This window comes from Homo sapiens, chromosome 13, assembly GCF_000001405.40.
Source record: "Homo sapiens chromosome 13, GRCh38.p14 Primary Assembly".
NCBI lineage: Eukaryota > Metazoa > Chordata > Mammalia > Primates > Hominidae > Homo > Homo sapiens.
Window position 1 is genome coordinate 93,232,734 of NC_000013.11, and position 15,161 is coordinate 93,247,894.

General features: G+C 39.5%; 1 protein-coding gene across 2 annotated transcripts in view, besides 1 other annotated feature; it reads left to right on the forward strand.

The window, feature by feature from the left end:
- GPC6 (glypican 6) overlaps positions 1 to 15,161 on the forward strand; it is a 1,191,492-nt gene that overhangs the window by 16,205 nt on the left and 1,160,126 nt on the right. The window lies entirely within an intron of this gene.
- Positions 10,706 to 11,518: an enhancer, noted in NCBI's record as "H3K27ac-H3K4me1 hESC enhancer chr13:93895692-93896504 (GRCh37/hg19 assembly coordinates)". NCBI's record gives its function as "activates a minimal SCP1, AML or CMV promoter by ChIP-STARR-seq in naive H9 embryonic stem cells {active_cell/tissue: H9 hESC(naive)}" and the evidence as "EXISTENCE:reporter gene assay evidence [ECO:0000049][PMID:30033119]".

The following is a 15,161-nucleotide window of genomic DNA, read 5'->3' on the forward strand; positions in this document are numbered from 1 at the left end:
AAATTATGGATGAAATTTACGAACACTTATAAAACACAAAATTATTGAGTAGTTCTAACCTAAAATGACCTAACTTCAATCACTAGTTTTGTATAGAAATCTGAGTTTAGGGTAAACATTATAATAAATTAATTGCTTTAAAAATGATTTTAATCTTTTGATCTTATATTGAAACCCACAAAAATAACAGTATAAGAACAACCTTTACCCCCACTTAATTCACATCTTTCAAATTACTTCTAGAAAGGCCAGTAAGGTGATTTAGATTTATCTTGCCAGTATAAACAGTGATTTAATATTCTTTTAAACTTGGTGATTTTATTTCTTTACAGACTAAATTCTGCTATGTTAAATTCTTGAGCTGGTACATAATTTAACTTTAAATATTTTCATAGATTTCTCCAGTATTATTCAATTTTCAATGATATATATAGTACAGTTTGAAAGTACTATTGACTCCCTGGGATCATATATTTGTAATAAAGGGTTCCATAGTGGTGAGACTTGGGTAAATATTTTAAAATTCTAATAATCCTGGATGAAAATATCTAAGAATTTTTAATAACCGTGGATGAAAAATATGTTTTAAATGAATGTGCCAGTTAGTAGCCAAAAAAAAAAAAATCAAAATTTGGTTTCACACTTTCACATTATTCAGGTTATTGGGTATTTTAATAACCCATTCTCTCTTTCTTCTAGGCATTTTTTTCTTCATGCAATGAGTATTTATTGTATACCTACTATGGGTAAGTCATTGTACCAGGTTCTGGGGGTAGAACCCCAGGGAATTTGAATCCCAGCAGGGAAGCAGAAATTAAGGACACCATTCACAATGAATTAATTCCAACTGAGATAAATGCATAGCACTAAGGACACCTGGCACTGTGAAAGCATTTTATAGGAGCATTTGATCAAATCAGAGGCAGAATAATGGGTTCTGAAGCATGGGCGCCCTTCAGTAAGGAAGCAGGAGTGTGGAAGGGGCACAAATTTCCTGTGTGGTGAGAATACCCTGCAAACATGAGGAGGGTTCCAGTCCCTGGGGAGACTGGTCAGTGAGTGGGGAGAGGGGTGTGGGAGACTGGAGAAGGGGGCCCAAAGGTCAGGTTAATGACTTACATAGACGGAAAGAATCCAAAGGTAACCCCTGCTTCTTGACCGTAAGTTGTTCCCTTTTTCACAGCAGACCTGAACCTTTAGTTAAAAAGCCCAGTAGTGCTAAAGTCAAGTTTCTACACATCCAGTTGTTTCAAATATAGCACAAAGAAGCAGATTTTTAACCATTTAGAGCATGTTTGCCTTGTGCACTCTGTAAAACTGTACCTGTCTGCTAGCCATATGTAAGACAACCCTGGGGTGATCAAAGACTCCTAGCTGCTGCAGCCCTTAGCAGCTCTCTGGCCCTGAGGCTGTCTACCCTGTTGCTGATGACATTGCCTGGGTCATAATGCCCTTCTCCCCTGGGAGTTCCTTGACCTTCTGCCCTTTTGGGTGGTGGCCCGTTTGTTAGCCCTGCAAGGTCTCATGCTGTGAGGGACTTTCCTTCACGTGCAACCAAAGTGTCTTCCAAATTAAGCTCACTGTGTGCTACTGCCACCTGGGGGTCATGTCGTCCTCCCCCACCCCCATCAGTCCTGACATCCCTCAAACTCACTACAGTGACTTTGGCCTTTAGCCTGAGTCCCTTAACAAGCTGTTGAATAAGTGTTTTAATCAGGATTGGATACAGTTTTGAAATATTACATTGGTTGCTCTATAGAGAAAGGATTGAGGGGAAAAAACAGATACAGGAAAAGGAGGAGAGGCTAGCTAGGACTAGAGTGGTGACCATGGAAATAGGAAGGATTCAAGAAATACTTAGTAGGTGAAATGGATCAAAGTTACTTACTTAGCATCTACTATGTGACTGACAATGAATAAGGACTGGGTTGTGTGTTTGTGTATGTGTGTGTGTGAGAGAGAGAGAGAGAGAGAGTGCAAGAGAGAGAGAGGGAAGGAAGAGAGAGAAGAGAGAAGTAAGTGTCCCAGAAATGTTAATTGAATTACCATGGCAATAAAAATACTTTAGCATAGTTTTTGTGTGCTTCATAATGGAGACAAAACTCAATATCATTAAACCAGCAGAAGACTATTAACAGTATCAGTGTCACTGAGAGAAAGAGATTTCTCAAATAGGATCAGATGAATTGCTAACTCTCAAAAGTGTAGAACTATCAAAATACATGTAATCAGCTACAATTCACTATGAAATTTAAGTCACAGTACTTTCTGCTCTGTCAGTGAAAAAAAAACTTCAAATTTTTTACCCTAATGGAGAATTAATCAAATTGTGCCATAATTTCCATCAGTAATGATATTTGGTACTTAAGCTACTGACATAGCATTGTTTTAATCTAAGTACCAAATATCATTACTGATTATAATAACAACGAGAGGTTGAAGCTGAAAGGAGGAGGCAAAATTTAATTGGAGCCTTGAAGGATGGGTAGCATTTGACAAAGGGCCATGAAAGAAGGAGGCAGTTAGGGAGTAATTAAATATGTGAGCAAAATAGGGTGTGCAGAGGAGAGCACAGAAAGGAATCTGATATTGAATAGATAGGGTGGGATTGGATTTTTGGAGGGCCTTGAAAATTCTAGGCTTTATATGACAGAAAGTAGGTCATCATCTCAGGTTCTTGGCAGAGAGGTGACATGACGAAAGTATTGTTTTGGATTAGGCAAGCAGTATCACAGGATGGATTAGAGAAAAGATCATTAAAGGCCCCTGGGGAGGGAAGAAGGACAGCTAGGAGACACTTAAATTTTAGAGGCTTAGGCAGGAGATTGCCAAGGTCTCAGAGGAGGATGAGAGGAGTGAAGAAGGGGTGAATAAGGCCATGAGAGAAGGAAGAAACAAGATTAAAAGGGAAAATTTTAAAAAATTAAAAACTTCACTCTGCTGCTTAGAAATTCCAATAAAAGAGTTTAGAGGATGAGCTGTTGAAACTCTCAACTCAAGTAGTCTGTGTCAGTTAAGATACTTTTGGCAGCAGGTCACAGAAATTCCTGACTCAACTGGCTTACATAGTCAGGGCAAGCCGTTATTTCACATAACAAGAAGTCCCAGTGCAGAGTCTTGCAGGAGTGAGAAAGCTGTAAGCTTGCAGTATCAACAGGGTGCCAGGTTCTCTCTGTCTTTTGGCTCTCAGATCCTTGTTCCACCAGATCACCTCCAAATAAACACAAGATGATGGCTAGAGTTCCAGGAGCTAAGGCCTCATGACAATGCCTAGAGGCACAGAAAGAAATGATTTCTTCCCACATGTCTCTTCCTTGATGAGGCAGACAACTCTCAACAGTCCCCCAGCAGAGATGCCCACCCTTCTCATTTTAGAATTGCCTCCTATGCCTGTACCTAGAAGGGAAGGCAAAGGATATGGTCTTTCAGCTGGACCCTCAGATGGGAGCTGATGATCATAGCATGGCTTAGCTAATCTTCATTATCCTTTTTTTTGTTATTCTTTTAAATTTCAATAGCTTTAGGAGTACAAGTGGTTGTTGGTTACATGGATGAATTATATAGTAGTGAATTCTGAGCTTTTAGCGTACCTGTCACCCAAATAGTGTTCATTGAACCCAAGAGCAAATTTTTCATCCCTCACCCTCTTCCCACCCTCCCTACTTCTTAGTCTCCGGTGTCTATTATACCAGGGATCCCCAACCCCCAGGCCATGGACTGGTAATGGTGTGTGGCCTGTTAGTGACTGGGCCATACAGCAGGAGGTAACAGTAGGCAAGTGAACATCACTGCCTGCGCTCTGCCTCCTGTCGAATCAGCAGCGGCATTAGCTTTTCATAGGAGCATGAAATCTATCGTGAACTGTGCATGCGAGGGATGTAGGTTGCGTGCTCATTATGAGAATCTAATGCCTGATGGTCTGAGGTGAAACAGTTTCATATCCAAACCATCCCCACCAATCCATGGAAAAACTGTCTTTTATGAAACCATTCCCTGGTGCCAAAAAGGTTGGGGACTGCTGCATTATACCACTCTATGTGCCCCTGTGTATGCATACTTATCTCCCACTTATTAGTGAAAACGTGGTATTTGGTTTTCTATTCCTGAGTCACTTCATTTAGGATAATGGCCTCCAATTCCATCCAAGTTACTGCAAAAGACATGATTTCATTTTTTTAGGGCTGAGTAGTATTCCATAGTATATATATTCCAAATTCTTTTTATCCACTTATTGTTTCATGGGCACTTAGGTAGAATTCCCTGTTTGCAATTGTGAGTTGTGTTGTGATAAATATATGAGTGTAGTTGTCTTTTTGATAAAATGACTTCTCTTCCTTTGACTAGATAAACCCAATAGTGGGATTGCTGGATTGAATGGTAGATCTACTTTTAGTCCTTTGAGAAATTTCCATGCTGTTTTCCGTAGAAGTTGCACTAATTTACGTTCCCACCAACAGTATATAAGCATTCCCTCTTCACCACATCTACATCAACATCTATTGTTTTTTGATTTTTTAAATAATGGCCATTCTGACTAGGATAAGGTGGTATCTCATTGTAGTTTTAATTTTCATTTCCATGATAATTAGTAATGTTAAGCATTTTTTTCACATTTTTGCCCATTTGTGTGTCTTCTTTTGAAAAACGTCTCTTCATGTCATTTACACACTTTTTAATGCGATTATTCATTTTATTCTTGCTGACTTGTTTGAGATCCTTGTAGATTATAGATATTAGTCCTTTGTCAGATGCATAGTTTGCAAATCTTTTCTTTCATTCTGTAGTTTGTTTACTCTTTTGATTATTTCCTTTGCTATGCAGAAGCTTGCTAGATTAATTAAGTCTAACTTATGTATTTTTGTTTTTATTTCATTTGCTTTTGGAGTCTTAGTCATAAATTCTTTGCCTAGGCCAATGTCCAGAAGAGTTTTTCTTAGGTTTCATTCTATAATTTTAATGGTTTCAGGTCTTACAATTAAGTCTTTAATTCATCTTAAGTTATTTTTTCATATGGTGAGAGATAGGGATCCAGTTTTATTCTTGTGCATGTGACTAGACAGTTTTCTCAGGACCATTTGTTGAATAGGGTGTACTTTCCCCAGTGTATGTTTTTGTCTGCTTTGTCAAAGATTCGTTGGTTGTAGGGATTAGGCTTTATTTCTGGGTTCTCTATTCTGTTCTATTGGTCTATGTGTCTATTTTTACACTATTACCATGCTATTTGGGCTACTATAGCATTGTAGTATAATTTGAAGTTGGGTGATGTGATGCCTTCAGCTTTGTTCTTTTTGCTTAGGATTGCTTTGGCTACTCGGGCTCTTTGTGGTTCCATATGAATTTTGGGATTGCTTTTTCTAACTCTGTGAAAAACGATATTGGTATATTGATAGAAATTGCATTGAATCTGTAGAATGCTTTTGGCAGTATGGTCATTTTCACAGTATTGATTCTTCCAATCCATAAGCATGGGGTGTTTTTCCATTTGTTTGTGTGATCTACAGTTTCTTTCCTCAGCGTTTTGTAGCTCTCCTTGTAGAGATCTCTCACATCCTTGGTTAAATATATTCCTTATACTTTAAAATAAAAATTTTATTGTTTTGCAGCTATTGTAAATGGGATGGAATTCTTGATTTGATTCTAAGCTTGGTCATTATTGGTATATAGCAGTGCCACTGATTTGCATGGGTTGGCCTTGTAACCTGAGATATTACTGAGTTCATTTACAAAATCCAGTAGTCTTTTGGAGGAGTCTTTAGGGTTTTTTTAGGTATAGGAACATATCATTGGCAAACATAGTTTGACTTCCTCTTTTCTAACTGGAATGCCTTTTATTTCTTTCTTTTGGATAGTTGCTCTGGCTAGGACTTCCAGTATGTGTTCAATAGAAGTAGTGAAAGTGGGCATCCTTGTCTTGTTCCACTTATTAAGGGAAATGTTCTTATGGGGGGATGCTTTCAACTTTTCCCCTTCAGTATGATGTTCACTGTGGGTGTGTCATATATGGCTTTTATTATTTTGAAGTATGCTCCTTCTATGCCTAGTTTCTTGGGGGTTTTTTATCATGAAGTGATGCTGAATTTTATTAAATGCTTTTTCTTCATCTGCTAAAATGACCATATAGCTTTTGTTATTAATTCTGTTTATGTGGTGAATTACATTTGTTGACTTGCATATGTTGAACCATCCTTGCATTCCTGAAATGAAGCTTAGTTGATCCTGGCAAATTATCCTTTTGTTGTGCTATAGTATTTGGTTTGCTATGTTTTGTTGAGGACTTTTGCATCTATGTTCATCAGAGATCTCAGCCCACAGTTTTATTTTTTTGTCGTGTCTTTCCTGACTTGGGTATCAGGGTGATACTGGCTTCATAGGATGAGTTAGGATTTCCTCCTTCTCAATCTTTTGAAATAGTTTTGGTAGGATTGGTATCACTTCTTTTAATGTCTGGTCACATTCAGCATGAACCTAGCTGGTCCTGGGCTTCATGTTGTTGGAAAATTTTTTAAATTACTGATTTGATCTCACTACTTGTTATTTGTCTGTTCAGGATTTCTATTTCTTTCTGATTCAAGCTTGGGGTTTTGTGTTTCCAGAAATTTATTCATTTACTCTAGATTTTCTAGTTTGTGTGCTTAGAGATGTTCATAGAACATCAGATCCATGAAAATGGAGACATTACAACTGATACCACAGAAATACAAAAGATCATCTCAGATCATTTTTTGTATTTCTGTGGTATCAGTTGTAATGTTTCTATGTTTATTTCTGATTGAGCTTATTTGAATCTTCTCTATTGTTTTCCTGGTTAATCTAGCTAGTGATTTATCAATTTTATCTTTTCGAAGAACCAACTTTTCATTTCATTGATCTTTGTATTTTTTTTTCAGTTTCGGTTTTGTTTAGTTCTGGTCTGATATTTGTTATTTCTTTTCTGCTACCTTTGGGTTTGGTTTGTCTTGTTTTTCTAGCTCCTTGAGGTGTGACATTGGTTGTCAATTTGTGATCTTTTTGTCTTTTTTGATGTAGACATTTAGTGCTATAAGCTTTCCTGTTAGTACTGCTTTTACAGTATCCCAGAGATTTTGATAACTTGTGTCACTGTCATCATTCATTTTGAAAAAATTATTAATTTTAATGTTGATTTTGTCATTGACCTAAAAGTCCTTCAGGAGCAGATAATTTAATTTCCACATATTTGTATAGTTTTGGGAATCCCTCTTGGAATTGATTTTTAGGTTTATTCTGCTGCAGTCTGAGAAGATGCCTGATATGATTTTTCTTTTTAAAAATTTATTGGAACTTGTTTTGTGGCCTATTGTATGGTCTATCTTGGAAACTATTCCATGTGCTTATGACAAGAATGTATATTCTCTAGTTTGGTGTAGAATGGTCTGTAAGCCTCTGTTAGGTCCATTTGTCCTAGAATCCAGTTTATGGCCAGTGTTCCTTTGTTGACTTTCTGCCTCAATGATCTAGCTAGTGTTGTGTTGAAGTCCCCCACTATGACTGTATTGCTGTATTTCTCTTTTATGGAATCTATTAGTATTTGTTTTACAAATCCGGAAGCTCTGGTGTTAGGTGTATGTTTATTTAAGGTTGTTATCTCTTCTTGTTGAGTTGACCAACTATCATTATATAATGACCTTCTATGTCTTTTTATTATTTATTTATTTATTTACTTTTGTTGATTTAATGTCTGATTTATCTGATATAAGAATGACCAGTGCTGCTCATTTTTGGATGCCATTTGTGTGGAATATTTTGTTCCACTCCTTTACCTTGAGTCTATAAGAATCTTTACAAGTTAAGTGGGTCTCTTGAAGGCAACATATACTTAGATTGTGCTTATTAAATTAATTCCACTAATCTTATGTTTTAAGTGGAGCATTTAGATCATTTATATTCCAAGTTAATAGTAATATATTAAATACTATTCCAGTCATCATGTTGATTACTACCTAGTTGTTTTGTATTCTCCATCATGTTACTATTTTATAAGCAGTGAGTTTTATACTTTTGAATGTTTTTTATACTGTTGCGTATAGAACTTTCATTCTGATGTTTAGAATTCCTTTGAGCATTTCTTATAGGTCCAGTCTAGTGGTGACAGATTCTCTCCGAGTTTGCTTTACTGGGAGAGACCTTATTTCTCCCTCATTTATGAAACTAAGTTTTGCACCATACAAAATTCTTGGTGACCATTACTCTGTTTAAGAAGACTAAAGATAGGATTCCAGTCCCCTCTGGCTTGTGAGTTTTTTGCTGGGAAGTCTGCCATTAGTCTGACAGATTTTCCTTTATAAGTTTTGATGCCTTTGTCTCACTAGTCTTAGAATTATTTCTTTCATGTTGACTTTAGATAACCTGATGATTACATGCCTTACTGATATTCTTTTTGCAATGAATCTCCCAGAGTTCTTTGAGACTCTTGTGTCTGGATGTTTAAATTTCTATCAAGACCAGACAAGTTTGCCTCAAATATTCCCTCAAATAGGTTTTCCAAACTTTTTACTTTTTCTTCTTCTCCTTCAGGAATACCTATGATTATAGGGTTTGGATGTTTTAGAGAATCCCATATTTGTTGGAGACTGTATTCATTTCTTTTGATTCTTTTTTCTTTGTTTTTGTTCGGTTGGGTAAACCCAAAAGCCTTATATCCAAGCTCTGAAATTATTTCTTTTGCTTGGTCTAGTCTCTTGGTAAAACTTTTCACTGCATTTTGTAACTCCCTAAATGAGTCTTTCATTTCCAGAAGTTCTGTGTTTTGTTTTGTTTTGATTTTTTGATTTTTTAAAATCTATCTCCTTGGAAAATTTTCATTCATATCTTGAGTTGTTTTCTTGATTTCTTTATGTTGGTTTTGACTTCCTCTTGGATCTCATTCAGAAACTTTATGATCAATATTTTGAATTCTTTATCTGGTATTTCCAAGATTTCATTTTGGTTTAGATTTATTGCTAAAGAGTTAATGTGATCTTTTGAGGGCATTGCAAAACTCTGCTTTTCATATTGCCAGAATTATTTTTCTGCTTCCTTCTCATCTGGATAGAATTGTTTCTTCTTATTATTTTTGAATTGAGTTTTGACTGAACTGGGTTTTTTTTTTCTCCTTGAGGATGTAACTATAATGTGTATAGTTTATGATTCCCTAGCTTTGGGTCTGGGTAATTTCAGTTGCAAAGACTCTGTGTAAGTTCCTTGGTTATACAGAATTTTGTCTGATGGCTTTCTTAGGTCGTGCTTTTAGTAGCAATGTAGCGGGTGTGTGAATAGGGCCACTGTCTCCTGTGGTGCTGGAATGGCAGAGGTCTCCTGAAGCTTATTTTATTCCTCTTGATGTGTACTTTTTTCCCCAGTATTTTTTCAGTGGGTTGAACAATTTAGTCTTCAGTTTAATTAGAGGTGTTCATGGGTAAGAATTGGCTGTGGCTAAGGTAGGTGGGTATATGCAATACCACAATGGTGAGCACACATCCCAGCCCTGATGGATGTAGCCTAGGGAGTTCCCATGAAATGCACTGAGGTCTTCATAGGTGAAAGGAAGGGTGCTACCTCAGCTCTACTACAAGCCTGGCAAAAAACAACCCAACTCCCTATCATCCTCCTGTCCCAGTGTTCTGGATATTCAGATTAGACAAGCATCTTTCCATCTTCAGGAATGCTGACATTTTGTGTAGAGAGGGAGCAGGGCTCTACTCCTCTTGCAAGCCTGACCCCAGAGGACACACATCCTGTGGGGACACAGTCACCCCAAAATGCTCTATAAAGACCATCTACAGATGCACCCAAGCCAAGCTCCTACAGGAGACATCCTGGCTGTGTCTGCAGCAGTGGGTGAGGGGGAGAAGTCCCCTCTACGTCACTTCATGAGTACTGGGGCTGCTCGACCGCTGGGGAAGAATTGTAGTCTTCCCACTCAGCTGAGCACTGTGCCCATCCCTCTGCTGAAAGAGTTGCAGCTGCTCCTAGCCCACAAGCAGCAAGTTCACGGACACAGAAAAGCCTGCACTCTGTTTCTTTTGTCCCACAGAGTGCTCCCTTGGTATGATGCACTCCCCCTTTCCCTAGGTATGACAATCCCTGGGGAACAGACCACCGTGAATCCTGCTGTTCCTCTGGGTCTAGCCACCATGTGGGGTTGCCACAATCCAGGTTGGTACTGAGGCATGTCTACAAGGGATCCTGTGATGTGAAGACACAAGGGTTGGAAGTCCCTGAGCAGAACAAAGTCTCGCAATGGGTGCACACTCAGTATGGCACCTGCTACTACAGGTTGGGACCGGGGGAACAGGAAGGGACCCTGTTCGAGATGGTAGCCCAATATAATGCCCTCGAGAAGTCCCCAGATCGCAGCCCGCTCCAGTACTTGGGCTCATGGTGGCAAAAAAGCTCTCCTTGAGTTTGGATACCAGCAGTCTGCTGCAAGGGCTAGAGATGCCAAGAGCATTCCCACCTACCCTTTCCACAGAATACTAAGTCTCTCTTGATTTGATCTCTGCAAGCTTCTTGATTCCTTAATTTTTGTGTATGCTGTAGATTCTTCCAATGAACTTTCCAATGGGCTCCAACAATCTCCCCTTAACATTCCATTTAGGCTATGGTTATTCACATTCACCTGTAATTCGTTTTTTTTGTTGTTGTTGTTCTGAAGGGAATTGTTCACCCATGTCTCTAGTCAGCCATCTAGAAAAGCCCTCTGATCCCTCAGGCCATGGACTGGTCTACAGGACTTGCAGTAGCTTGGGCTTTGCTCTTAGCTCCAGAGACAAGTGATATGGGTGGAGCTGGACCAGGCTGACCTGTCCTCTCCGGTCTCCCAGTGGCAGGTGCGAGCACCAGCTCTGATGGGGGTGGCAGGGGAGTGGTGTGGGCTCTGTAGGTCTGTCTTGGTCTGTTCAGGATTTCTAAATAAGGCTGTTTGGTGTGGTTTGGTGGCTTTCTCACTTGCCAGCTGTAGCATCAATGTACTGGGCATGTGAGCGGGCTCAAGTCCTCCTGGGTAGCTGGGGTGGTGTGGACAATGGTGTTAGCTGAGGTCAAAGAAGAGTTTTCTCCTTCACAAGCACTGTGTTACTGTGTCAGAAGATGTTGTAATGGGCTGTGCTGGGTGAAGTCGGGCCAGGAGGTAGCGCTTGTAGGAGAGAACCAGCTGCTGGGGTGGCCATGGGATGCTTGGCCTGTGTTATTCAGGGGAAGCACTCAGATGTTGCTGGTGATGGGCAGGGCCGTGGAACTCCTAAAAGGCCCTGTCTGTGTTCTGCTGCCAAGGTGGGTGGAGGGGAAAAGCTGGGTGGGGGCTGGGTCAGGCAGTCCCGTGCTTTGGCTCCCTAGGTGTGAGTGCAAGCAGGAGCCCTGATGGGAGTCAGTGGGAAATTCCCTGGCCACTGGGGTAATGTTTCAGAGAGGAATGGAACCACTTTCGCTGCATAAAAGAGTCCACGCTGGGAGCCGGGCAGCAGGTGGCAATGAGACCCACCCAGCTCCCATGCCTTTGACAAGGCAGATCTCACACCCACAGACTTCTGCTGGCAGAAAGCTGCAAGGGCCGGCTGGGTCCCACAGTGCAAGACTGCCACACACTGCAAGACTTCCCCCGCAAGACAGAAACCGCAGCTCTTAGGCCACACCCCTTCTAGTTTGGCCCACGAAGCAGGGGCACCTGGCTCCTGTGTCCATGCCAGAAGCATGCTTTATGCTTAAGATTAGGTTGCAAATCTCGCTTGGGAGCTTCTTTCAGCCTGTGGCCATCTCCTGAGTTAGCTAGCAGATTTTCACGTGGGCGTCTGTGAGTTGGATTAGGAGTGTCTTCCTTCTGCCCCTCCTGGCGCCTGGGCGGGCATGCAAAGCACTTCTCCATGCTGCTCCTTCTCCCCACTGCTCCCCAAATCAGCTCTAGCACCCGGTAGGGTTAAGGAGCTCCCCCATGGCCTGGATTAAGCGGCTCCCCAGTGGGAATGTGTATGAAGGAGACAGTCTCTCCCCTTTCACGCTCCAAAGACTGAAGTTTTCTGCCTGACTCACAGTGCAGCCTGCTGCCTACTGCTCCTTTCACAGTATCCAAAGTTTCTTTCACTTTTTCTCTTGAGTTCCTCTGTTCCTTCTTAGATAAAAGTGCACAGCGTGAATCTCTACATACTATTTTGCTCTTTTCAAAAGGGTGACGCACACTAACAAAGCCTCTAATCTGCCATCTTCAAAAAAAAAACTTCATAATCTTAATAAGAATCCCAATAAATTGAGTAGTAATTGAGAAATTGAGAGAAACTGCTGAGGCTGTCTGAATTAATGAGGTATTTGGCATTGTCACTTTAGTCCAGTATTTCTCAACCCTGGCCAGTGATGAACTGATTAGGTATTAACAACTGCCTGGGTGTGGAGGGGACACTGATTCATAGCATTTGGTAAGTTTTGTGGTATAAATGTTCTCACCATGAACAATTTCAAGCTACCAACAGTTTAACAGCCAGTTCACAAAATTCCTTAAAATTTAACAGTCTTCTAGGCTATAATGTGGGGCACTGAAAATTATCTATACTTGAGCACCGTTATTCAGTTTTGGATACTCTGATTTAATTGATTTGGGAAAGGGCACAGTCCTTCCTTCTTCTATTCTTCTCTCCTTCCTTCCTTCATTCTTTCCCTCCTTTCATAATTTCCTAATTTAGATGTGCTCCCAGGATTGAGAATGAGTGATGTAGAGCAGTGAGCTTCCTAAACTTTACTATGCACCAGAATCACCGAAAGGCTTGCAAAACACAAATGGCTGGGCTCCACCTCCCAGACTTTCTGATTCAGTAGTAGTTCTGGCCTGGAGTCTGTAATTTGCGTTTCTAACAAGTTCTCAGGTGATGCTGATGTTGTTGGGTCAGGTATCATACTTTGAGTCTCTGGGGCTCATACTCTGGTTGCCATTCATTGTGGTTTTAAATATGGATTTCTTTCAGAGTGGGCAGTCACCTTTTGGATAATGGTTTTTGTATTGTTTTTTACATTGGTTGTGGGTGAGAATCTCCACCCACAAAGTGTGTTACTGCTACAAGTTGTACTACTTAGATCTCCCCGCATACTTTAAAAAGTTTACATGAGCCCCTAGGGGGACTAAGGAAAAGAGCAGAATGGGACCAGAGCAGTCTATCCCATGTCTGCCTGGAACAAAAGAGGCCAACGATTCTTCTTCCTAAGTAGAATGGGCTCTCCACATTGCTTTAAATGGGAAATGGGCAATGGCATTTCAGGTTTCTTTCACCACAGGATCCTATTTTTCTTACTAATATGGTATGCCTTCTGTTGGTACCTATGACTCTTAATTAATTTTTGGTCCTGTTGAGATTTCTGGTCAAGAGAAATTCCATCCCCCCAACCTCCTCCTTGAGCTGTTTTTCCTATCCTAGCCTCTCAGGCACAGATCTAGCCATTTCCCCTGACTTTTAGACTGTTATGCAAGGCGACTACATTTAGAGCTGGTCACTCTGCATTTTGTACACATTGAATTAAAGATATAGCATAATACATTCTGGGCATGCACACCTGCACTCTCTAGGCTTTACTAGTTGCATGTTTGCTCCTTACATCATAGTTTTAGGTTTATCAAGCAATTGGCTTCCTCTCTTTGTGCCCCCAGGACAGCTGAGATTAGCAGGGGCCAGTGCTTCTCCACAGAATTTGAAGGAACTAGAGGTATTTTTTTTCTTAAGATTGCAGTGATGTTGAGGCAACCATTTTCTTTGCAAAGAAAACACCTTGAAGTGTTCTAAAAAATAATAATAATAAATAACTTTTATTTACTATTTTCTTAATAGATGAGAATAACTCAAAGTCACTAGCACTTGTGAAATGAACTTAACAAAAGCCACTATGATTGAGACCATCCTGGCTTACACGGTGAAACCTCGTCTCTACTAAAAATACAAAAAAATTAGCCGGATGTGGTGGTGGGCACCTGTATTCCCAGCTACTAGGGAGGTTGAGGCAGGAGGTGAACCCCAGAGGCGGAGCTTGCAGTGAGCCGAGATTGTGCCACTGCATTCAGGCCTGGGCGGCAGAGCAAGACTGTCTCAAAAAAAAAAAAAAAAAAAAAAAAAAAAGCCACTATGCACACATTATAGGTATTTTTAAATGACAGGCCTTACATTTTTTCCTGGAAAAAAAAAATTGTCTTTTAGCTGTTTGCTTATCCTAATTTCCCCCCCAAATCTCCATGATTGGGAGTTTTTCAAACTTAAAAAACTGTGACATTTAAAATTTCTGGTAATTTGTTCTCTTTTTTCTTTTCTTTTTTTTTTTACAGCCAAATATTTAACAAAAATTTTAAGTATAATGTAACATTTTATTATGAAAGAAACAACTACTGGAAACTAACTTGCAACAAAAACCATTCTAGTATCTTTGCAGTACCCTTAGGAGATACCTAATTCTTTAAAGAGATGTTTATATTAATGAACTGATTTTAGAAGACAGAATTTTTGAGATCGCTTTTAGATACCTACAAGCTATATTAAAAATCACCAATAAACAAATTAAGATTATCTTTGACCTCTGTTTTCTGTTGGCCTAACAAATGTTTTTGCAGAGTTTAGGATTGCTATTTTGAAAATGGGAACTTGTAATTCTAAAGTACTAACAATCTGAAAATGCAGGATTGCTGGACACTCCTATGTGGTGATCCATTATTAGCTTCTCCTCCAACTATATTTGCCTTGAACTTGAGAATCTTAGTTTACTGTTACTTTTACATTATCAAGTGCTAATGTGTGAAAGGATTTTATTATGCTTTTACTACTCATTTCATGATATGGTATCTTATTCAATATTCTTTCACAGACTTGGGGATATTAGATATCAGGTCAAGCATTATGTTAAAAGCTTAGGCCAATCTTTTTATATGACCGCAATAAAGAATATATTCATTTCACTTATATTACCACATGGCCCTCATAAAAGGTCAGTTTCAATTGAATATAAAATACCTTACAAATGGCAAATCATATGTCATCAACAACACACCTATTATGAATAATCTATTTTCAATTACCACCTTCCCCTCTTTAAAATATAACTTGGAAATGTCTTAGAATCACTAAGAGATCTTCATTATGTATTTTGTGCAAAAGACATAAAAATTGTATATTTTTCTGTTTTAGTCAACAAAATATGTATGGAGT